Raw genomic sequence first — 26,200 nt, 5'->3', positions numbered from 1 at the left:
CCCCTGCCTCAGCCTCCCGAGTAGCTGGGATTACAGGCACACACCACCATGCCTGGCTAATTTTTTTGTTATTTTTAATAGAGACGGGGTGTCACCATGTTGTCCAGACTGGTCTCCAACTCCTGACCTCAGGCAATACACCTGCCTTGGCCTCCCAAAGTGTTGGGATTACAGGCATGAGCCACTGCGCCCGGCCTACAGTTTCCATTATATTATCATAGACTTGATTTGCCCACTAAGTGTATATGCCAGGCATAGCATTAGTTCATTTAATCTCCACAATACTCATTCATTTGTCAAATAATTATTATCTACTATGCATCTACTATGTTTCAAGAATGAGCTCATGCTCTAGGGATATGAGGGTTAGTAATTACAGACTTGTTCTCATGGAGTTTACAGGAGAGATAGAGACTAGCCAAATAATTCCAGAAATATATAAATACAAGTAGAGATAAGTGTTTGAGAGAACTATGGCATCATGAAAGAATATAACAGAAGAATGTAATCCAAAGTAGGGTAACAGGAAAGGCTGCAACAAGGAAATGAAATTTGACCTGAGATCTAGTGCATGAATCAGAGTCAACTGGAAGAGTGTGCCTGTGTGTGTGTGAATGTGTGTGTTTGATGGTTGTGGGTAGGAGGATGGAGGGAGAAGCAGACTCTGCAGGAAGAAAAATCCTTTGGCAAGTGGGCGGTGTGGTCCTTTTGTGAAAAAAAAAAAAAAAAAAAAAAAAAAAAAAAGAAGGCCAGTGTAGATGGATCAGAGAGGTCACCATGGATGAGACTGTGGGTCCTGGAGTCCCCATAAATATTCTAGATTTTACCCCAGGGCAATGGGAGGACATTGGACAGTTTTGAGCAAATATGTGTGTTTCGAGCAGACTTAGGGCAGGCAAAGTGATTATCTCCTTTTACAAGTCAGGAAGCAGAAGCTCAGATGGTTAGGGTAACTTTTTCAGGATTCATGGGGGTCACACAGCTAGACAGTGGCTTGGCTAGGACTTAAACCCAGGTCAACTGATGCCCACACTTTTTATTCTTAAACATTCAGTGAATGCTCATATATTCTCTCTCTCTCTCTTCTCCCCTCCCCCCCTTTTGCTCCCTCTCTCCCTCCTTAATTCTGGAAAGGAAGCATCTACTTTTGAAATACAAAAAAGAACTGACTGGAATTAATATTATTAAGGTCCTACTATGTACCAGATATTGCTATCTTATATAATCACATCGATGCTAGATCTAAGGGCGGTAAGGGCAGGACTTATTATCCCTGTTTTCAAGATGAGAAAACAGATTCAGAAAGTTAGTTAGTAAGCCTTATTATTAGAAAGTAGAGAAGGGATGTGAATCATTCTGTGTGACTCCAAAGATGAGATGAAGCCCAGAACACTGTACTGTTACCTTAGTGCACTATCACCCATAGTAGATAGGAAGGGAGAGGAAGACTGAAAACACAGAGACCAGGAAAGCTCTTTTACAACAGTCCAGGTAAGATATGAAGGTGGGGATAGATACAGTTGATTTTAGGCAAAGAGAAGAGTAGGAATTGAGCATCAAATACATTTTGGGCAAAAGTAGAGTGAGTCCTCTCCCTGGCTGGCTTGAGGCCTGGGCAGAGGTTGACATCTTTCATCCTAAGGGGCAGGTTTGTGGAAGAGAGGGCAGAGCTGCGATGCTCTGTACATTGCTGGGGTAGGCAGGTGGGTAAGTGAATCTGGAGGTTCGGGGAGAGGTCTGGAGCATTGGCCTTTGGTAGAAGCTTTTCTTATTATTGAGCAGATATATAATGAATATTTGCTGATGTGATGATTCATCTGCTCTGATTGACAACTGCTGTCTTTGCCAGTTGGGTCGTCTTTGTCTTCAAGCTCACACTCCTAACATTTCCTGTACCCTCACTCCCTTGTTCTCTTTCCTGAGGTCAATACCCAGTGTACTCCCCTGGATCAGAAGGTGGGTGGATAAGAATGCTATTTTGTTAAAAGGAATTTTTTTCTACCTTATGATCTGAGGAGAAAAAGGTAATTCACAAAGCTCCAGTTCATTCAAAGAGTTATGCTGAATCCCAAAGCATTCCCAAAGGATTGCCTTACACATTCTAAATCAAGTGCCTGGCTTTTATAATGGGAACCTACAAACTCTTGGCAAAAAAATAAAAAAAAGTATGTGTGATTTATCACTCCAATCTTGCAGTCTATGCAATGCAGACATTTCACTCCTGGGAATGGATAGTCCTGATTGCCTTGAAGCAGACTGTAAACGTTTCATTCGTGACCAGACAACTTGACTTCTAATGGCCTGCAACCAACTAAAATAAGCACGCAGAGTGATGACCACCACCAGGCAGCTAGACATCATTCCTCATTATCCCAGTAACATTCTTTTTTTTTTCTGAAATTACTTTTTTAAAAAAATGTTATGACTTCAGAATAATCTTCTAATATAAAGCTGTAGGATCTCTATAATAGAAAGCTGTTAAATCTTAAATGTTACACACCCAAATGACAATCTCAAAAGGACCCAATATGGTGTACTTATTGCAAAGTAAATATATGCCACCCTTGTCTTCATCAGCAGATAGTTAATTGTGGGTCATCTGCTGAAGGCATGGCTTCATCCCAGCGAGGAATTCTAGGCAGGCTCTGCTCTGGCTCACAGGGCTTGTCATGTCTGTAACAGAACACGGCTTTACTTGATAAAGCCCGTCTCCTCCTCTCCCACTGATTATGCTAGACTGTTCAGGTAATATTTACAACTTCAGCCAGTGAGTTCAGCATGACGATTTTACTCAGCAATAGAGAAAACTCAGATGTACAAGACCTTAATTGTCTCTACAAATCTAAGGAGCCAGGACTCAGGCCCCCAAACTTTTTTCTGGAAAGACCCAAGAATCACCTGGCAGCAGATCTCAACCTAATTCTGAAACAAAGCTGACCTCAGGGTGTGAGCCAGGGAGAGTTGTGAGACTCCAGCAGGATAAATAAATCTGCTATGATGTCTTGCTAGATATTATATCCACCATGAGGTGTGGTGGAGCTGCTGGAACCGATCCTGATAGCATATGGAGCCTGGGAAACAGGGTCTAACTGAAGCATTTCAGTGGCTCTCACTATTTATAAGAGTTTGGGTAGGTGAAAGAGGAGAAGGGTAATTTCACTGAGGTGGTGGACCATGTGTGGGAAATGACACAAACCAGAAGAATTGGGAAAGCCCAGGTCGCTCCAGTGTGGAGAGGCAGGCTTTCCAGAAGCCATGTGAAGAGAGTGACTGGTGACTGATAATTTGGCTGGCACAGCATTCAGACAAGTGGCGTCTACCTCCAAATGTGGTCTATTTTCCCAATGCTCTGGCAATTAAATAGTTTTGAGTGCTAATTTATCTCCGCATTTTTTTTAGAAGAGGAAAGAATGAACCTCCAGGGGACCATTTGACTGGAAAAGTAGCCTTTTCTATCCTGCTCTAGGATGGGAAAACACAGAGACCCCTGTCATGAGATTACTCACATTTTGGGGTCATGAATGCATGGAAGCAGAAGTCTTTTCCTTGAGATAGGCCAGTGAACACCACATTATAAAAACTGTGATAAGTACTCGTTGCTGAGTGTTTATGATTATAGGCACCAATGTGTTTAATTTCTTTTCTATCATTGTAGTCTCACCAAATACTTTAAGGGGAAGAGATCATTATTATTCTTTTATAAATAAAGAAATCAGAGAAATGAGATGTTTATAAATTGCTTAAGGTCACACAACAAGTAGGATGTGAACCCAGAATTGACTCTAGCTTAACAACCCCTGAAACACGAGGAACCTCAAGCTGTGGTAAGAGAATGGTTTAGATTTTGAGAAGGTCACAAGGCTCACCTATTCTATCTAGTATTTCAGTTACCACCAAGTGGATAGTTCCTGATTGACTCTGATAGTTTTAGTTTGATTTTTCTATCAATGTTAATTTGGAGATTAAATATATATATATATAAATATATTTTAATTATACTTTAAGTTCTGGGATACATGTGCAGAACGTGCAGGTTTGTTACATAGATATACATGTGCCATGGTGGTTTGCTGCATCCATCAACCCGTCATCTACATTAGGTATTTCTCCTAATGCTATACCTCCCTTAGCCCCCCAACCCCCAACAGGCCCCAGTGTATGATGTTACCCTCCCTGTGTCCATGTGTTCTCATTGTTCATCTCCCACTTATGAGTGAGAACATGCGGCGTTTGGTTTTCTGTTCTTGTGTTACTTTGCTGAGAATGATGGTTTCTAGTTTCATCCATGTCCCTGCAAAGGGCATGAACTCATCCTTTTTTATGGCTGCATAGTATTCCATGGTGTATATGTGCAACATTTTCTTTATCCAATCTATCATTGATGGGCATTTGGGTTGTTTCCAAGTCTTTGCTATTGTGAAGACTGCCACAATAAACATACGTGTACATGTGTCTTTATAGTAGAATGATTTACAATCCTTTGGGTATATACCCAGTAATGGGATTGCTGGGTCAAAAGGTAGTAGTTCTGGTTCTAGATCCTTGAGGAATCACCACACTGTTTTCCACAATGGTTGAACTAATTTACAGCCCCATAAACAGTGTAAAAGCATTCCTATTTCTCCACATCCTCTCCAGCATCTGTTGTTTCCTGACTTTTTAATGATCACCATTCTAACTGGCATGAGATGGTATCTCATTGTAGTTTTGATTTGCTTTTTTCTAATGACCAGTGATGAGGATCTTTTTTTCACATGTTTGTTGGCTGCATAAATGTCTTCTTTTGAGAAGTGTCCATTCATATCCTTTGCCCACTTTTTGATGGGGTTTTTTTCTTGTAAATTTGTTTAAGTTCCTTGTCGATTCTGCATATTAGCCCTTTGTCAGATGGATAGATTGCAAAAATTTTCTCCCATTCTGTAGGTTGCCTATTCACTCTGATGATAGTTTCTTTTGCTGTGCACAAACTCTTTAGTTTCATTAGATCCCAATGGTCAATTTTGACGTTTGTTGCCATTGCTTTTGGTGTTTTAGTCATGAAGACTTTGCCCATGCCTATGTCCTGAATGGTATTCCCTAGGTTTTCTTCTAGGGTTTTTATGGTTTTAGGTCTTACGTTTAACTCTTTAATCCATCTTGAGTTAATTTTTGTATAAGGTGTAAGGCAGGGGTCCAGTTTCAGTGTTCTGCATATGGCTAGCCAGTTTTCCCAACACAGTTTATTAAATAGAGAATCCTTTCTCCATTGCTTGTTTTTTTCAGTCAAGCAGAAGAAAGAATATCAGAGATTGAAGATCAACTTAATGAAATAAAGTGTGAAGACAAGATTAGAGAAAAAAGAATGAAAAGGAATAAACAAAGCCTCCAAGAAATATGGGACTATGGAAAAGACCAAACCTACATTTGATTGGTGTACCTGAAAGTGATGGGGAGAATGGAACAAAGTTGGAAAACACTCTTCAGGGTATTATCCAGGAGAACTTCCCCAAACTAACAAGACAAGCCAACATTCAAATTCAGGAAATATGGAGACCACCACAAAGATACTCCTCAAGAAGAGCAACCCCAAGACACATAATCGTCAGATTCACCAAGGTTGAAATGAAGGAAAAAATGTTAAGCGCAGCCAGAGAGAAAGGTTGGATTACCCACAAAGGGAAGCACATCAGACTAACAGAAACCCTAGAAGCCAGAAGAGAGTATAGGCCAATATTCAACATTCTTAAAGAAAAGAATTTTCAACCCAGAATTTTATATCCAGCCAAACTAAACTTCATAAGTGAAGGAGAAATAAAATCCTTTACTGACAAGCAAATGCTGAGAGACTCTGTCACCACCAGGCATGCCTTGTAAGAGCTCCTGAAGGAAACACTAAATATGGAAAGGAACAACTGGTACTAGCCACTGCAGAAACATACCAAATTGTAAAGACCATTGACACCATGAAGAAACTGCATCAACTAACAAGCAAAATAACCAGCTAGCATCATAATGACAGGATCAAATTCACACATAATAATATTAACCTTAAATGAAAATGGGCTAAGTGCCCCAATTAAAAGTTGCAGACTGGCAAATTGGATAAAGAGTCAAGACCCATCGGTGTGCTTTGTTCAGGAGACCCATCTCATGTGCAAAGACACACATAGGCTCAAAATAAAGGGATGCAGGAATATTTACCAAGCAAATGGAAAGAAAAAAAAGCAGGAGTTGCAATCATAGTCTCTGATAAAACAGACCTTAATCCAACAAAGATCAAAAAAGACAAGGAAGACCATTACATAATGGTAAAGGGGTCAATGCCACCAGAAGAGCTACCCTAAATATATATGCACCCAATATGTAAAGCACCCAGATTCATAAAGCAAGTTCTTAGAGACCTACAGAGAGACTTAGACTCCCATACAATAATAGTGGGAGACTTTAACACACCACTGTAAATATTAGACAGATCAATGAGACAGAAAATTAACAAGGATCTTCAGGACTTGAACTCAGCTCTGGACCAAGCAGACCTAATAGACATCTACAGAACTCTCAACCCCCAATCAACAGAATACACATTCTTCTCAGCACCACATCACTCTTATTCTAATATTGACCACACAATTGGAAGTAAAACACACCTCAGCAAATGCAAAAGAATGGAAGGAAATCATAACAGTCTCTCAGACCACAGTGCAATCAAATTAGAGCACAGGATTAAGAAACTCACTCAAAACCACACAACTACATGGAAACTGAACAACCTGCTCCTGAATGACTACCAGCTAAATAATGACATTAAGGCAGAAATAAATAAGTTACTTGACAGCAATGAGAACAAAGACACAATGTACCAGAATCTCTGTGACACAGTTAAAGCAGTGTTTGGAGGGAAATATATAGCACTAAATGCCCACAGGAGAAAGCAAGAAAGATCTAAAATCGATACCCTAACATCACAATTAAAAGAACTAGAGAAGCAAGAGCAAACAAATTTGAAAGCTAGCAGAAGACAAGAAATAACTAAGATCAGAGCAGAACTGAAGGAGATAGAGACACGAAAAACCCTTCAAAACATCAATGAATCCAGGAGCTGGTTTTTTTGAAAAGATTAACAAAATAGATAGACTGCTAGCCAGACTTAACAAAGAAGAAAAGAAAGAAGAATCAAATAGACACAATAAAATATGAGAAAGGGGATATCACTGCTGACCCCACAGAAATACAAGCTACCATCAGAGAATACTATACACACCTCTACGCCAATAAACTAGAAAACTTAGAAGAAATGGATAAATTCCTGGACACATACACCCTCCCAAGACTAAATCAGAAAGAAGTCAAACCCCTGAATAGACCAATAACAAGTTCTGAAACTGAGGTAATAATTAATGGGCTATCAACCAAAAAAAGCCCAGGACCAGATGGAATCATAGCCGAATTCTACCAGAGGTACAAAGACTAGCTGGTACTATTCCTTCTGAAACTATTCCAAACAATAGAAAAAGAGGGACTCCTCCCTAACTCATTTTATGAGGTCAGCATCATCCTGATTCCAAAACCTGGCAGAGATGCAACAAAAAAGAAAATTTCAGGCCAATATCCCTGATGAACATCGATGTGAAAATCCTCATAAAATACTGGCAAACCGAATCCAGCAGCACGACAAAAAGCTTATCCACCTCGATCAAGTCAGCTTCATCTGGGGATGCAAGGCTGTTTCAATATACACAAATCAATAAACATAATCCATCACATAAACAGAACCAATGACAAAAACCACATGATTGTCTCAATAGATGCAGAAAAAGCCTTCAATAAAATTCAATACCCCTTCATGCTAAAAACTCTCATAAACTAAGTATTGATGGAAGGACAAAATAATAAGAGCTACTTATGACAAACCCACACCCAATATCATACTGAATGGGCAAAAACTGGAAGCATTCCCTTTCAAAACCAGCACAAGACAAGGATGCCCTCTCTCACCACTCCTATTCAACATAGCATTGGAAGTTCTGGCCAGGGCAATCAGGCAACAGAAAGAAATAAAGCATATTCAAATAGAAAGAGAGGAAGTCAAATTGTCTCTGTTTGCAGAGGACATGATTGTATATTTAGAAAACCCCATCATCTTAGCCCAAAATCTCCTTAAGCTGATAGGCAACTTCAGCAAAGTCTCAGGATTCAAAATCAATGTGCAAAAATCACAAGCATTCCTATACACCAGTAATAAACAGAGAGCCAAATCATGAATAAACTCCCATTCACAATTGCTACAAAGAGAATAAAATACCTAGGAATCCAGCTTACAAGGGATGTGAAGGACCTCTTCAAGGAGAACTACAAACCAATGCTCAAGGAAACAAGAGAGGACACAAACAAATGGAAGAACATTCCATGCTCATGGATAGGAAGAATTATTATCCTGAAAATGGCCATACTGCCCAAAGTAATTTATAGATTCAATGCTATCCCCATCAAGCTACCACTGACTTTCTTCACAGAATTAGAAAAAACTACTTTAAAGTTCATATAGAACCAAAAAAAGCCCGCATAGCCAAGACAATCCTAAGCCAAAAGCACAAAGCTGGAGGCATCACACTACCTGACTTCAAACTATACTACAAGGTTACAGTAACCAAAACAGCATGGTACTGGTACAAAAACATATAGACCAATGGTACAGAACAGAGGCCTCAGAAATAACACCACACATCAGCAACTATCTGATATTTGATTAAATATATTTTTTGATTCCCTATTAGGCCCCACCAGATGCCAAGTGCATTTAACGTTCAACCTTCATGAAAACTCCCATTAGCAGTTCTGTTGAGCATGTACTAAAGTGGTGCTTCCCAAAGTGTGTTCCTTGGACAGCATTGTCAGTGCCACCTGGGAACTCCTTAGGAATGCAACTTCTGAGGCCCTGCCTCAGATCTGATGAATCAAAAACTCTGGGGACAGGGCCTGTGTGTTAACCAGCCTTGCAGGTCATTAGATACATGCTAAAGTTTGAGAATCACAGCTATAAAGCATTAGGAGGGGCACAGATGGACTTACTTTTTCACATGGAGAAATACTGACTTTAAAATTTTACTCTTTTTTTTCTTTACAGAAGGTTTTTACCTCATTTCCAAATCTTCATTCTCCTGTGGTACAAATTTGTACAAGGCAACATAGGTGTTCATCTGTAATGGGTCTTTGGAAAGAGATCCCTGAAAGAGAAAATAAAAGAAAAATGAGAAAAGAAAGGTGAAATAAATTGAGAGAGGAAAGAAAGAAAACAGGAAATGGAGAAGTCATTGCAATGTAATTTCAGTGTATGGATCGTAAGTGTTATCTAACCATTATTAAAGATTTTCTGTCAACTTTGCATTTATTTTTAATTTCTTAACCGAGGTTGGTTTCACTATAAACAATTTGAAAACAATTATTTGGAACTCTTTGTCAGAAATATTGCAATTTTCTTCAAATAAATTTTCTTTGATAATATAGTTGTTCATGAAAAATGGTACAAGTTAGACTTCAGAAATGGGAATATTCTTTCTAAAGAAAGAGGGACACATGAATAGTAGTGTATAACTCTCACTTCCTAAAATTAACTGTTTTATCAGTTAGCCGAAAAGTTGGTATCTAGTATATCAAAGGGAACCAGGTATATTCATCTGGCAATTAGTTCATTTATGTTGAGAAAAAAGCATAGGTTTTGGCATGAGACTGATTTAGTTTACATCAGGGTACCACCATCTATTGGCAATGAAACCTTGCAATAATGACAATACAAGCTGCTGTTTTGATAGTTTGTTGTGTGCTAGGCATTATGTTACATGCATTAGCATACTTGAACTTAACAACAACTCCGTTAGGTAGATTCTGTTTTTGTCCCCAATTTACAGATGATAAAAGACTCTTGTAAGCATCATATAAATATTAGCTATTATTACTAACCAAATAAATGTTAATGCTATAAAAACATTTATGCTTTATAATAAACAAGTTAAAATTATATATTATCTCATATATAGTTGCATCATATATCTAACTATATACTAATATAAATACATGCTATAAATTTATAGAAAACATACACAAAAGCTGTACACAACTATATATATCTTTTTATCTATAATTCACTCTGCTCTTCAAAGCTCAGGTACATTATATAATATTATTCTAGTTTGTCTAAATTTTAGATATGTAAATGAACATAAAATATGACATATATGCTATAAAATACAGTGATAATATATTATATAATTCTATAATCTACACATTATATAACAGAAACAAAAGGTGCACAGTGCAATGCTTACTCTTTTTACCTTTTATGCACTGTGCTAGTTCTGTTTATTCCATGCTATGGTACGTTGTGCTATATTATTCTATTCTCTAAAGATGCTGGTCTGGACTCACTAAATTGATTTCATGACCCACTTGGATGGTGACCTGCAGGTCTATCTAAGGACTCCTGTCTGACTTGTCTTCTGTGACATCCATAAATACCTGGTGGTTTATGTTCTTCGCTGGATCTCTGAAATCATCAGTGCCATTTTCTGGATATGTAAACACTGAAGGAGACAAGAGAAAGCAGGTGCTCTATGAATCTAGTTACCATTTAAACAAATATTCCTGAAAGATGGCTTTATTTATTCTAAGTACCATAGCTTCTACTTTACTACTTATTGCCTTTTCCTCACCCTCTGTGACCCAGCGTTCAGGTGGTCTTCCACATGTCTCTTCTCCTGCCTCCCCATGCAGCATTCTGCACCACCTTCTCTGTGCTCCCACAACTTTTGTACATGCCTGACTAGCACTTGCCTCTTGTAATGATTGGCAGTAGTGTGTTCATATTTGATCTCATTTGGTAGTGTACCTCTCAGGAGCATTTGTCCTTGTTGAATGCATCAAACCGCTTGTTAATGGGGTGGTGGTTGAGATATAGTCCAATTTAGTTGTATTTGAGCTGCCTCTTCTAAATATGATTCTTTAATCTATATTCGGTATCTTGATTGTAGTTTCTTGAAGATATCTACATTATATTTTGAAGATTAAAGCTTTAGTTTTAAACTTCAAAATATTTCCTTGATTTCTTATTGTCAGTGCATTGGGGCTACTATTTGGTTTTTCTTTTAGTTTATTCTTGGGAAGTATAATTTTCTTCCTTTTGTATTTAAGTATCCACTCTGTAGCCTTTGATAGTGGACAAGTCTTCACAAAATGGGCAGGAAGGCTGGGCACGGTGGCTCACACCTATAATCCCAGCAGTTTGGGAGGCCGAGGCGGGTAGATCACTTGAGGTCAGGAGTTCAAGACCAGCTTGGCCAACTTGGTGAAACCCCATCTCTACTAAAATACAAAAATTAGCTGAGCATGGTGGCATGTGCCTGTAATCCCAGCTACTTGGGAGGCTGAGACAAGAGAATCGCTTAAGCCTGGTGCAAGGTGGAGGTTGCAGTAAGGTAAGATCACACCACTGCACTCCAGCCTGGGTGATAGAGTGAGACTCCATCTAAAAAACAAAAACAAAAACAAAAAAACAAAAAACAATAAACAAAATGAGCAAGAGTTTTCATTGTTCACATACCCAGCTGTGGGAGGTTCCTGATGGATAATGGGACTTCTGCCTTATCTAGTTTGGTCAGCCTAACCTACATCCATAACTTATGTCATAGCTTTATCATTCTCATCATATGTATTTTCCTTAAACAAAAATGTGGTAAATATTTCCAAGTTTATATAATAAAGCTTTGTTCTTTAAATTACTCTACCATTTTGATGACTTGAAATTTTTAGATTATACATTGCTGCTTTATTCTTCTCTTTGATTTCCCTTCAGATTATCAAAGAAATGTCAGTAGAGGGAGGGGATCACCACAGAAAGCTCTATAACCTATTTCATTAGTGCACTGACAGTCTTTACTGTTCTTAAAATAGCCTCAACAACAGTGATATAGAAAACGTGCTTCAGAACAAGAGCCTCTGTAAATGTACTGATGCTTATCAAATATCTATTCTTCTTGGCTTATAGTTCCAGAGTTTATGGATGCAATTCCATTATCCCTAGGAAGCCAATATGCAGTCATTGGTGGAGCTCTGGTTTGTAAGTAACCAGAAAACGAAGGCCCGGTTCTATGAATCTTGTCTGCCTCAATATTTGGCCACTCAACTTGATGTCTACCAGTCTAAAAAGAGTAGAGATTAGCAAAACCTTTTTCTGGTAATGTATGACTGTCTGAAATCCTGCTGTAAACACTTGATTCCCTAAGTATAAAACTGGACACCTCTGAAAGAATATTAAATATTTGAATGGAAATGTAAAGAGAATCTTCCTAGAAAATTCTTGATTTGGCCTAAAAGGGCGTCTACATAAAGTGCATATACAATGTTCAGTGTGGATTGATTTTACAATTTTGTAATTTCACATTGTTTTAATTTTTGTATTGAATCTCCCTCTGGCCATCTGGCTCAAAATGTGTATCATCTTTGTAAACTTTGCTGAAAAATATTTGAAGTGACCCTATATATGTTTTCATGTATGGTTGCAAGAAGAAATGGAAGGTTGCAAAAATAATTTTTAAACCTATTCCAACCATTTATAAGACTTTGAGTTAATGAAAGCGGAGAAAAGAAAGGTAACTACCGAAAACATATCATACACCTTTTATTTTTGGTGCTTTAAATTATTTCATGAAAAATAACTTGGTCGTTTATTTCACCCATAACAAGAATTCAAAGAATATGTCTATTATGTAGGCATAGTTTCTAATGTTACAGAAGCAAAATGAACCTTTAGTTCTTACCACATCCCCAAAGAACTTTCTTCTTTTCCTATCCTATATGCTGTCTTTTGTTTTTTACCTTGCAGACCTGTGAGGCCCAAGACCACTGTGTTTTTTAGTTAGATTATTATTTTTTTAACCTAGTAATGCAGCAAGTTACATTACTGGATTATCTGATGTGAATCCAAATTTGCATCCCTGGAATAAGTTCAACTGGGTAATTACACAATGTCTTTTAAAAATACTTTATGGGTTCTTACTGAGATTTTGCTTGAGATTTCTGCATCTGTATTCAAGAGAAAGACTGGCCAGTGATTTTCCTTTTTCATGATATCCTTGTTTGGGTTTCAAGTCAGTATATTTCTAGCCTCATAAACTGAGTTGGAGAATGCTGCTGTCCTTCCTCCTTGCTACTTCTTGTTTCTCTGAAAGAGCTTATGTAATCTGAAAATTTTCTCTTCCTTAAATGTTTCGTAGAATTTACTTATAAAGTTTTTCAGGCCTAGTATTGTCATTGTGCAAAATTTAAAATATTGATTCAGCTTCTATAAATATTATAAGAAAATTCATGTTTCCTATTTCTATTTATTCTTGAGTCAGGCTTTAATCGTTGATATCTATCTTTATATCTGCCTATTTAAAAATGTTTTAAAGTACATTGGCATGAAGTTGGTTATAAAATTCTTTGGTTTTCTTTTCAATCTCTGTTATGTTTCTCTTTTTTGTATTTATTTTTGTTTCATCTCTTTTATCTTAAAAAATCATTAGAGATTGTAATTTTGTTTAAAAAACACTCAAGATTTATTGATCTATCTTTGTAATTTAATAATTTCTGCTCTTGTCTTTATTATTGCCTTCTGCTTTTCTGAGTTTATTCTATTTTATTTTCCTTAAGTATAGTGTTTAGATATTACTTTTCAGACTTTCTTATTTTTTTAACACTCATTTTAAAGCTAAATACTCAAATCCCAACTTTAGCACTTTGGATACGTGTTGTTTTGATATGTTTTCATTCTTATTTAGCTTTAAATATATTCCAGTCTTTATTATGAATCCCTTTAACATATGATTTTGTTTTTTCTTTGTTTTTGAGACAAGGTCTTGTTCTGTCGCCCAGGCTGGAGAGCAGTGGCACAATTATAGCTCACTGCAGCCTCGACCTTCCAGGCTCAAGTGATCCTTCCCCCTAAGCTTCCACAGTAGCTGGACTATAGACATATGCCACCCTGCCCGGCTAATTTTCTTAAATTCTGTGTAGAGACAGAGTCTCCCTAAGTTGCCTAGGCTGGGCTTGAACTCCTGGCATCAAATGGTCCTCCAACCTTGGCCTCCCAAAGTGCTGGGATTATAGGTGTGAGCCACCATGCCCAGCCAAGCTATAAAAATTTTAGAAGTGTTTTTATTTTACAAATTATTGGTTTTCCTAGTTATCTTTTGACTATTGATTTCTATCTAATTTGCACTGTGGTCAGAAAGATGTATTCTATATAATAATAATTATTTGAAATTCATGAAATTGGCTTTATGACCTAGTGGGTGATCAGTATTTTAAATAATTCCATGTGTTCTTTTTAAAATTAATTTTAATTTTAATTCTGGGGTACATGTGCAGGTTTGTTACACATGTAAACATGTGCCATGGTGGTTTGCTGTATCTATCAACCCATCATCTAGGCATTAAGCCCAGCATGCATTAGCTATTTTTCCTAATACTCTCCCTCCCCTACCTCCTTCGCCTGACGGGCCCCAGTGTGTGTTGTTCCCCTCCCTGGGTCCATGTGTTCTCATTGTTCAGCTCCTACTTATAAGTGAGAACATGCAGTGTTTGGTTTTCTGTTTCTGCATTGGTTTGTTTAGGATAATGGCTTCTAGCTCCATCCATGTTCCTGCAAAGGACATGATCTCATTCATTTTTATGGCTGCATAGTATTCCATGGTGTATATGTACCACATGTGTTCTTAAAAGGAATGTGCATCTTCTACTTGTTACATGGAGTGTCCTTTTTAGGTAAATTAGATTAGGATTGTCAAATGTGTCATCAAATCCTCTATATCTGTACAGAATATTTTTGTCTATCTGGTTTGCCAATAACTGAGAGGCATCTTAAAATCACTCAAGAATTTGGAATAATTTTGTCAATTTCTCCTTGAGTTTCTATCATTTTTCAGGCTATGTATCAGGTATATGCAAGTTTAGAATTTATATCTTCAGATGAAGTGAACATGACCATGTAAATAACACTTTTAAATTCTAGTAATGCTTTCTTGGTCTTAAAGTCAATTTTTCACACATTAATACAGCTATATATTTTTTTTTGCTTAATATTTGCCTGTGGTTGCCCCTTGGTTTCTATGTCTGAAAAGTTATTTATTCTGCCTATGTTTTTCTTTCTTCCCCCTGCAGAAAGTTAAAAAAAAACTTTTGTTTTTTTAAATTTTCTACATCCTTATGTTTTAGATATTTATAAATAGTATATAGGTCATTTAAAAAATCTAGTCTGAAAATCTTTCTTTTATCTAGAGTGCTTAAATCAGTTTACATTTATTTTGATTACTGATAAATTGGGATTCCTTCCTAACATTTTATTTTGTATTTGTCCCAAATTTTCTATGCTTTTTCTTCTATTTTGCCACTTTCCATCCCTTCTTTCTTTTGAATTGATTGATTTTTTTCTCCTTCTCATCTTTCAGTTTGGTTCCCTTTCTGGTTTGGTAAGTTGAGTCTATTTTTATTCCTTTAGCAGTCATCTTAGAAATTTTATGAGATATGTTTTAACAAAATAGAAAGTGAAATAGTATATTTAATCGCCTCCCAAGCAATACATAATCTCTGAATGCCCATTTCCCACATAAAGTCAGTATTTCAGCTAATGTTTTATTAACAACTTTTTAAAAACATTATTTTAAAAAATGTGTCCAGTGTTTGCTTAGATTTAACCACATGTTTACCACTTTCTTTGCTCTTTATTTCTTCTTACATTTCCGTCTTTCCATTGAGGTCATATTTTCCTCTTTGAAGTACATCTTTTTAAAATGTTTTGAATATAGGTCTTTCTTAATTGAACTGTAAATACAATTTTTGTCTGAAAAATATATTATTGAAAGATAGTTTTGCTTCATTTACAATTCTAGGTTAAGAATCACTTTTCTTTCAGCAAACTCAAGATAGCATTCTACTGTTATTTCACTTATACTGTAATTTGTAAGAAGTAACAGTCTAATTTTCATTTCTTTGTAGGTAATCAGTCTTTTATACTGCATTTTATGTTTTCTTTTATCTTTGAAATTCTGCAGTTTCAGCAACCTACGTCTAGGTATAGATTTCTAAATTTGAGTAATGGTGTCTTTAATCAATTCTGGAAAATTCTCCACAAGTATGTTCTTACATATTGTCTCTCTCTCATTCTCTTTCTCTCTCTCTCTTTTTGAGACAGGGTCTGGTGCTGTCTCTCCCAGGCTGGAGTACAGTGGCATAATCATGGCTCACTGCAGCCTCAAACTCCCAGGTTCAAGTAATTCTCCTACCTCAGCCTCCCAGCTAGCTGGGATTACAGACAGGCACCACCACGCCTGGCTAATTTTGTATTTTTTGTAAAGATGGAGTTTCACAATGTTTCCCAAGCTGGTCTCAAACTCCCGGGCTCAAGCAATTCTCCTATCTCGGCCTCCCAAAGTGGTGAGATTACAGGCGTGAGCCACTGTGCCTGGGGCCCCATTCTCTCTTTATGTACTTCTAAATTGTCACTTAGATGCATGTTGGACTTATTCATCTTTCATGTCACTTTTAATCTCACAAATTCTACTGCTTTGGCTTCCTAACTATACCCTAACATTTCTTTGGTTCTATATTTTAGGGAACTAATTCTCTCTTTATGCCTAATATGTTGTTAAACCCATCAATCAAATTTCTACTTAAAAAAAATTCTCGAAGTTCTATTTGACTTTCCTCAAGCTTGCCTGTTTACTTCTGATAGTCTCTTTTTCCTTTGTTATGTTTTATGGTCCATTTTTAACATTTTAAATGTATACAATTATATAGTTATATATTTCTTAATTTGATAATTCTTACATGTACAGTCTTGAAAATCTGACCATAAAGTTGGTTGTTTCTGCTAATACTTACTCATCACGGCTCATTTTCTCATGTGTTTGGTGAATTTTGATTGTTAGCTTGTGTTCTTTGAGTGTTCATTTCTGAGAAGTTTTTGAGGTCTGGTTTAAAATTTTCTTCCTCTAGAGAGGGTTTATATTTGTTTCTGCCAAATGCCTGGTGATCTTACTGTACCTGGGCCACTTTAAACTACATTAAACTAAAATTTCATATTATTATATTATTTGCCCATACAGGTAGTATGAATTCAGGCCCTAAAATCCAAGTAAGAAGACTGTTTCTTTCTTTCCTCCTTTCTTTCCTTTCTTCTCTCCCTCCCTTCCTTTTTTCTGCCTGTCTTTCTTTCTTTCTTTCCTTTCCTCTCCACTTTTTTGTTTCCATTCTTTTCCACCTGAGTTAAGGCTGGTATAGCATATTCCTCTGCAGGGAATCCTGTTTGTCCAGTGATCCTAAGGGTATCTTTTGGGGTATTAATATGTTTCAAAAGGGTCTTTCATCCAACCTAATACCCTGGCCACTCCCCATTTTATTGTCTATTGTTCATAAATGGGGCCTATTATTTCCCAAGCTAAGGCTCTAGGGATGTGCATAGTAAATCCTTTACCTGCTTGTATCTCTGAATTCATGTTTTATTGCCATTCCTAGACTCTAAGGAATTGCCTTATTTTGCTGCCAGCTCAGCCATGCATTAACTAGAATTTTTTTTAGAACAATTCTTTCTCTTAACAGTTTTAGGAGTGCTAAACTGGGAAAAATTCCTCTGAATGTCCAGTTCTCCACAATGCTGGAAAGGGAATCTTCTGTTCAACTTTAAAAAGATCTTTACCTGAACTTGATACAAAGCATGTGTTGCAGAAACATACCACAAATATTTGCATCTGTAATGTAGAAATATCCACTGGAGTGGTACCAAAACCAGGGGCATCTGCCAACTTAACCAGGAAAATATCTGCTCTTTTTGACACCTTAAAATTTGAGATATTGAATTAGTACATGCTAAAGGCTAGGATATATTTTCCAGATCTGAGCTTGCCTTTTTTTTTTTAGAATAAAATTGCTTTAGTGCAAAGTGAGGTAATATTCGATTTTGTAATATCCTTAAGTGGCTGTGGTTAACCCAGCCCTTTTTGAAGAAAATTCTAGGAATTTGTATTGCTTATGTCCTCTTCTGTCTCTCTTCCAGGAAAATTATGATCACACAGAGTCATTCTGAAATGCAATTACTGAAGGCAGCCAATAACATTATTATTTGGCATTTGGAGCTGAAATAGGCAGGCCAGATTTTACTTCAGGCGAGATTTTACTTCTCTCTTTGCTTGTTACTTTGTTATGAGTGAAGCTTCTAGCAGTTAAGCCAAAGGTGAAGACCAACAATTTCCTCCATGTATATTTATGATGCATCCAGGAATAGTGTTCAAAACAACAACCATAAATACTCAGACCTGCCAAGGATCATTTATAAGAGAGAAAGGAGAGACTGTACTCTTAGCAGTAAAGAAATTAGTATGAATTGTACTTCCTTCCAAGGTGGCTTTGGAGATATTCCTCAAGGAATTTGACATAATAGCTGGCTGGAAGAAATGACACCTGTATGCACTGCATTTTTTAAGACATAAATGAACATGTAATGCAGAACTGGTTGTGACTGTAATCCTAGACACTGCTTCTGAACAGCAACACCCTCCTTGCATGAGTGAGAAGATCTGTGGGAACTTGGACCACATATGTAGGGTGTTTTCTCCATGTGGTTTCTCAAACTGCATGGACAGGACATTAAAGCCAATCAAGGGAAAGTGTTTTGAAGCAAATTGCTGCATAATTAATCCACCTAGCTTCTCAGGGTGCATTGTAGAGAAAGCTATTGCTGATCAAAAGAGTTGTTAATACATCTCCAACACTTTTTGGGAGTTTATTGCTTGCTCAGTTCTTTCACCAGATCTCTTTGAGAAAGGCTGTGAAAATGCCCCTTAACACAGAAGAGATGGAAAATTGTCAACTTGATGTCTTTGTGTGTACTACTCTGTGACTTAGTTTCCTTATCTATACGGGGGATATTGTGTGCATGTGTGTGTATTGAAGGGGAGGGAATTGGACTAAGTGACCTCTAGTCCTACTTCTTAAACTTTAATGAGCCTATGAACCACAGATTCATATGCAGATCCTGATTCAGCAGGTGTGGAATGGCCTGAAACTTGCTATTTCTAACAGGCTTTCAAGTGATGCTCACGTGAGTTGTCCATGAGCCACATTTAGGGTAGTGAGGCTCTACCTGCATCTCTGACACTTTATGACTGTATGATGGCTTTGCTAATAGCAGTGATGCTACATAGCAATGATTGCTAAATATAGCCCTTCCTATTTTAAAATCCTATTAAGACCACCTTTTGAGAGAAGAAACCCTCAGTGTAAATTGTGTTCTAACTCCTCAAGGAATTGGTGAGCAACAGCATAGACAGAGCCAGGCCAGGATGGCTGAGGCAGAGAGTTAAGCAGTGAGCACATGCTGGGCATAATTTTGAGAAGCAGCAGATAGAGTTTGCTGATGGATTACGTCTGAGGTGTGAGAGGAAGAGGGAGTCAGGGCTGATGTCAAAGACTTTGGCCTAATCAACTGGTTGAATGAAGTTCCTATTTACTGAGCAGAGACAACTGTGGGAAGAGCCAGTCTGAATGTGTGGCTGGGTGAGGGGATCAAGAGTAAAGTTTGGGTAGGTTAACTTAAAGATGACTATTCTGCATTCAGATGGCAATGTCCAATAGGTGATAGGCATCTGGAGGCAGCAAGGAAGCCTAATACTGAAGATGAAGTTTGAATCATCAATGTATGGATAGTATTTACATTCATTATGTCATCCAAAGATCATAAGAACCCTATGGATTTGGTGTTATTATCTTCATTTTAGAGATGAGGTGATTGAAGCAGAGAGAGGCTAGGTCACTGCTTTGGGATCACATGAGCATTAAGTGAAGTCTAGCACTCTGCTTCCAGAGCAACAATGGGCCAAGGACCAAATGTTTCCAGCGCAGTTAGTGAGGAGAAGGCCAGCAGTGATGTTGATGAGAAGAGTGTCAGGGGAAAGGGGAAAGCAGAGGTCAGACTCAGGACTGAGCAGCTGATCACACTTAAAGCATTATCATGCAAGTCTCTGGTGAGTCAGATATTGAGAAACTTTAGGGTTGCTGTTTAAATTCAGTTGCTGGTCTTGCAGTGCCAGACAGTTGGGCTGGGATGGCCCTGCTGTGCTGCTGACCTGCTATGAAGTTCCCCTCGAAGCCAATACCCTCTAATTTGTCTCTCTAATGGCACTGCTAAGTGCTCAGTGGTTGTTTGCATTATCTAAAAGTACAGTTTCCCTCATGTGATGCCAAAGAATCCTTACCCCAGTGGTGAGCTTTAGTAGATGTGTGTGGGTCTGGCAAGGGGGGGCATGGTGAACACTGGCACTTATTTAGGAAGGAAAATCCTGGGGCAGCTGAGCACATGGTGCCTTGTGGGAATCACACAGGCATAGTCCTAACTAAAGAAGAGCCATAAATGAATTCCCAGAGTGAAGGAAGTAAAAGTGATACCTCATCAGACAGCTGTTGACAAAACTGCTATGTGGTATCGAATGAGGAATTTCTGCATCCAGGCTGGAAAAGGCAGGGCTTGGAGTGGAGTTTGGAGGGATAACTTCTGCCATGAGAATGCATTCAGCTCAAGTTAACAATGCAACTCAGGTCCTGCAGGACTTTGACTAATACACTTTTGCTAATGATAGTAAATGCTTCATAAATATTTTTTGATAAACTAGTGAAGGTTAAGTAGTTATTGATGTCCAAAAGGCCTAGCAAGAATGCATCCATAAGGATCTGGTCACATGTCTTTAAGCTCTGGATTACGAGGTGGCTCTTTCTTTTTTTTTTTTTTTTTTTTTTTGAGACGGAGTCTCGCTCTGTGGCCCAGGCGGGAGTGCAGTGGCGCGATCTCGGCTCACTGCAAGCTCCGCCTCCAGGGTTCACGCCATTCTCCTGCCTCAGCCTCCCGAGTAGCTGGGACTACAGGCGCCCACCATCACGCCCGGCTAATTTTTTTTGTATTTTTAGTAGAGACGGGGTTTCACCGTGTTAGCCAGGATGGTCTCGATCTCCTGACCTCGTGATCCGCCCGCCTCGGCCTCCCAAAGTGCTGGGATTACAAGCGTGAGCCACCGCGCCCGGCCAGAGGTGGCTCTTTCTTAATGTCAGCAAGTGGAAGTATGAAGTTAGCATTTAATAAATACTTTAGAAATTATTATAACAAAGGCTTAAATTATTAGATTAAATAATTTTAATATAGAATGTTTGGCTGGATTGTACATATCAGTTTTTTGAGCTTCTTAGTTGTCTCTGCTGGGGAAGGAGCCAAATGTGAGGCCCACACTTCTCTCCTGGGCCCCACCACCACTTGGTTTCAGGTACCTAAGGTGTAGCACAAATTAGCTTCTCTGTGGTACGGTTTGCTAATGTAATCTAATCTAGCTCAGTGGAGAAAATGACGTATTCACAAAAAGTTCTGGAAGCGACTCTTAAACCCCAATACAGCTCAGTTTATATATATATATATGTATATATACTCTCATAAGAGTAAATATACTCTCATAAAGTATGAGAACTCAGGATATAGAACTCAGGAACATATTAGAGCAAATCACTGAAATCCACCAGAAACAATGCTCACATTCTCTCCAGAACATTGAACACTCGCCCTGATTAAATTCCAGAGCTAGCAGAGAAAGCAAGGGGACTGGAAATCAACTTGGCCTGCCCACTGACCCTGACTCATGTGATCACATTTGTGCTGTGCCAACTCCCTCACTCACCGCTGTTGCTGCGTTTCCTTAGGTCATACCCGCCTCCTGGCCCATTGGCTTCCTCAGGAACCTCCACAAGATCTGAAGTCTTGGAGGAAAGAAGAAAGAGCATGGGATGAACAATGTTATATCTGTGGTCAATTGAGCAGATACTTTGGTGTAAGAGAGCTTAGGTAGAATTTGCATGACACATAAGGACCCAGTGATTGCTGTCTTGGCTGTTTGGCTAACTTCAGAGAAGCTATGTCCACTCGTGGGCACTGTACCTCCCTTCAGGTGTCTATAGCAGGCTCAGGCTTGGTGATGGTAGGTATCCAGTGAGTATTGAATATTCATGAATGTCTAGAAGCAAAGGCCACAGCCAGGCTTCTTCCCAGGAATAGGCAACAAAGAGAAATCAGAATGCCTGTCCATATCCTGTCACTTAAAACTTTCAATAAAACGCTAGCTCTTTCTACAGGTGTTTTAAATATTAGTTTTAGAGAATGGGATGCACTATGGAGGGATGCACTACTTAGGTACAAGTTAAATACTGTTTCCACTGCTGCAAAATTAATTGTTTTTATAATATGTATCCTGACTCTCTTTTTAAAGTGAGTCACAATCATTCTTCCACTTAGGTTACAGAAATAACAAGAACAAAAACAACAATAATAACAATAACACACTCTAAATAGCTAATGCTTCCTGATCACTTACCATGTAATGTTTTTAAGGACTTTATAGATACCATCTCATTTATTCCCCAAATTAATCCTATGATAGACCAATTTTTCAGAGAGGAATCTGAAGCCCGGAGAGAATCAGTAGCTCTGTTTGAGGCCCCATAGTTAATACATGGTGGAGCTGGGGCTGTGAATCACAGGCGTTGCCTCCAGAGCTCGTGCTCTTAAGCATTGTGCTTTATTCATTGGTGTGCTAAAGCATCTTTGTGGGCTGGTGAGAGTCTCATGGTTATCACACTGGTGGCATGAAATGGATCACCACAGGAGTTTTACTCCATGGAACTGGCAAACGCTTCAAATCAGGGTCCAGTTCTGACTTGGTTGTTAAACATTTACTAGCATACCACACTGAATGCCTCTTTCAAAGGGCCACGTGACCCAGCTTCAGTCTAACTGGCTCTATCCTCTTCACAAGAGGAATTTAGGGGGCCTCTGAGGACAGTCACATATATATATATATATATATATATATATATATATATTTTTTTTTTTTTTTTTTTTTTTTTTTCTTGAGATGGAGTCTTGCTCTGTCACCCAGGCTGGAGTGCAGTGGTGCAATCTCAGCTCCATTTCCTGGGTTCAAGCGATTCTTGTGCCTCAGCTTCTCAAGTAGCCAGGATTACAGGCATGCACCACCATGCCTGGCTAATTTTTGTATTTTTGGTAGAGACAGGATTTCACTGTGTTGGCCAGGCTTATCTCGAACTCCTGACCTCAGGTGATCTGCCTGCCTCAGCCTCCCAAAGTGCTGGGATTATAGGCGTGAGCCACCAGACCTGGCCTGACAGTCATATTTTAAAAAATTATTTATTTACATCTTATCGGAGAGGGACAAATTATCTTCTTAGCTCTCCTAGCCAGCTCTAGAGCCCTTTAGCACCACCCTCCAGAGACTGATTTTTGTTACAATTTAGCTTTAAGATTTTTTTTCAAACACTGCTACTATCATGACACAGCAGAAAGAAGAAAAAAAAGTCACAGGGTCTCTAAGTCACTCATGTCCTGCTCCCTTTGAAGCTCACAATTTCTGTACAGAAGTTGGTTTGTACAGAATTTCATTTGTTAATTTAATCTTATGAAACTGAAGATTATTCATAAACTAGCCAACTAACTCCGAGAATGTTGTTTGAATTTGGTTTCTTTTAGCTTTCCCAAAGCCATCAAGCCTTTTATATTTTAGAACATTTGAAAGTACATTGAGGAAAACATAACAATTTGGAAACAGCCAGGCAGTGACTTCTCAACAATGTAAAACAAATGCCTCGGCAGCCTTGGAAGAAAATAAAGCTGTGGAACAAAGCTTTGCTATGCAGGCATATGTTAACTTTAGGACATAAGAATACTAAAAATAAAATAAAAAATGCAGGATGCTGAAGTTCATTATTACTGACCTGCTGGCAGGAAGCAAAATCACTTTAAAATACCAATCAATGTTTCTATTTTCTTCCTTTGAGGATGGTTGGACTTTGGGGAAAGAGTGAAGTGACAGATCTTTAAGTACAATTTGGTTTGTCTTTGTCTCCCTGCAGCTCTCAGAACAATGCCTTCACAGAGCTAAACTCCAACAAATATCTACTGGTGGAACCAGTGCCAGTATAAGTGGACGGTGATAAATGGACATCCCTTTGACATTCAGAAAACTATGCTTTTTGCTCCTAAAACCAGTCTGTAGGGTCCAGATGTTGCTAAAGACAAAGCTATATTAGAGATGAAAGCAAACTGGGACATCCCCAATTGTCCCTCTGGTGGTCTTGCTGCTTCTTAGCATCAGCCTCAAATGAGGAGGCTGACATGTTCATTGCCTACTATGGAATGTTTCCAAGGAGGTCTGTTTGTCATAGGTCAGCAAAGCTCAGAACCACAGGAGCAGCCATCTACTGCTCGTGCAGATAGATCAGAGCCATCTCTGTGGAGCCGTCTCTCTGCAATTGCCTCTATGTGCTGGCTTTTCAGTTGCCCTTCCACCAATGCCAGCCTCCCACAAGCATGGAAGAGGCTTGCACTGAAGTGAGATGACCTACTGGCTCTCATCAAAGATTTGAGAAAGGCTTGTTCAGAATGCTGGTCAAAGTGGACAGAGATCTCTCTACTCTGACCAGTTTTGTTTGTGCTTTTCCTTTGATTGCTGGGTGGCATCTACAAACAGTCTTGACTTGTAAGGGGAGATGGTTGCAAGCTGAGAGTGAGCTCTGTGTGGCTTTGGGGAAGCAACTCATTGACAGCAATGGCCCTCCTCACTCCCCTGAGAAAGGAGATGCAACGTGGTACGTGGGGTTAGGGAGATGATTAGCATTCTTGGATCTCTGTTTCAAACTTCAGATCCAGGCTTGTGGCCACTGTAAATGTGTCACTCAAATGCTGTTCACACAGAGAGGGAGTAAGAGCAAAGGTGAAGAGGAGAGAGACAGAGGGCTGATTTCTTTGGAAGCAAACTTTAGTTTTTAATTTAACTCAGTAATTCTCCAACTTTAATGTGCATCAGAATCACCTGGAGGGGTTTTTAAAATGGAAATCGTTCGGCTCCCCAAATCAGATTTTCAGATTTTGCAGTTCTGAGAGACAGAAACCCAAATTTGCATTTCTAACAAGTTTCCAGGTGATGCTGATGCTGCAGATCCGGAGACCACACACTGAGAACCACTGATTTAGCTCATTGCCAGCCCTCTATTACAGAAGTTTAGGCAGTTTTGACTGAGGAGGGTGCTCATTCATTCATTGATTCGTGCACTCACCACATATGTATTGACACTCTACAAAGGGCTGGCAGAACCTGGGCCTTTATAGTGTTACAGAATTCTCCAGGGGATTCTGATATGCCCCAGCATTTGAGAATCACTGGTATAAAGTAATGAAAACACAAAGCTGTGAATAAAAGAATCCTTGCATTTAAGGAGGTTAGTCTAATTGAGGAGAGGACTGGGAAAGTGAGAGAAAAATCAAACAAAAAAGTGAAAATTACTAAGCAATATATAACTAATGGATTAATGAACTGGATGCTCCGGGGCACCAGGGAAGAGGTGGGTGCCCAACCAGACCCAGAAGCTTGGACAGATGTTGTCTGACAGAGGTGGAGATAGTTTGAATGTCTGGACAGAGCATGGCTATGCAGAAAACGGCAAACTGTGCCCAGAGCTTAAGGTGTGAGAAATGAAGTGTTGTGCGGATCCCGGAGGATTCTGAGGTCAGTCTTCAAAAGTCCCTTGTTAATTCTTCCTCATTCTTCACACATTTCTTGAGTATTCACTATGTGCCAGGCACTCTATGAGTCCCTGATGTAATGAGATGAATAAGGAACGGGACCTAGATACTCACTAGATACTCAGTATTTATTCAGGGAATAGACACAAAAGCAGATGATTACAATGCAATCATATATATTCTATAAGAAAGGAATTCTTGAAGGCTTGTGGGAGGAGCAACTCACCATGCATGGGGGAGTCTGGGGACTCTTCATTGTTTGTATAAAAATAGAGTGGGTCTTAAAAAATTTCAACTCGGTGGAGCAACATGTTCTAAGGAATGGATATGTTATAGGGCTTGGGGAGTTCAGGGGAAAGTGGGTTTTTAGGGTAATGGCAGGACTCATATCCCATGCCTAAGAGTTTGGGCATCGTTGTTCTGACATAAGCAACTTAATAGAGGATTTTAATTAGGGAAGTGGCGCAAAGCCTTTCTTTAAGGGTCGATAAATCAGGGGGTACTGTCAAGGGTAGGCTGAAAAGGGTAGCACGGTTATTTCTTTATAATAATCTAGGTGAGAGATAA

The 26,200-nt window shown here is 38.7% G+C and overlaps 1 protein-coding gene across 9 annotated transcripts in view; it reads right to left on the bottom strand.

Annotated features, from left to right (window-relative positions):
* STAC (SH3 and cysteine rich domain) overlaps positions 1 to 26,200 on the bottom strand; it is a 167,504-nt gene that overhangs the window by 33,059 nt on the left and 108,245 nt on the right. For all 9 annotated transcript variants that reach the window (XM_047448767.1, NM_003149.3, NM_001292049.2 and 6 more), the window contains 3 exons: positions 21,720 to 21,798; positions 10,492 to 10,556; positions 9,115 to 9,203 (listed from right to left, as the gene is read on the bottom strand). In XM_047448767.1, the coding sequence (XP_047304723.1) occupies positions 9,115 to 9,203; positions 10,492 to 10,556; positions 21,720 to 21,798 (233 nt within the window). The remainder of the gene's footprint in view (positions 1 to 9,114; positions 9,204 to 10,491; positions 10,557 to 21,719; positions 21,799 to 26,200) is intronic.

The sequence above is a fragment of the Homo sapiens genome, chromosome 3, assembly GCF_000001405.40.
Source record: "Homo sapiens chromosome 3, GRCh38.p14 Primary Assembly".
In the NCBI taxonomy this organism is placed as follows: Eukaryota; Metazoa; Chordata; class Mammalia; order Primates; family Hominidae; genus Homo; species Homo sapiens.
The sequence above is the reverse complement of the archived record's forward strand: the minus strand, read 5'-3'. Positions and strand labels throughout refer to the sequence as shown.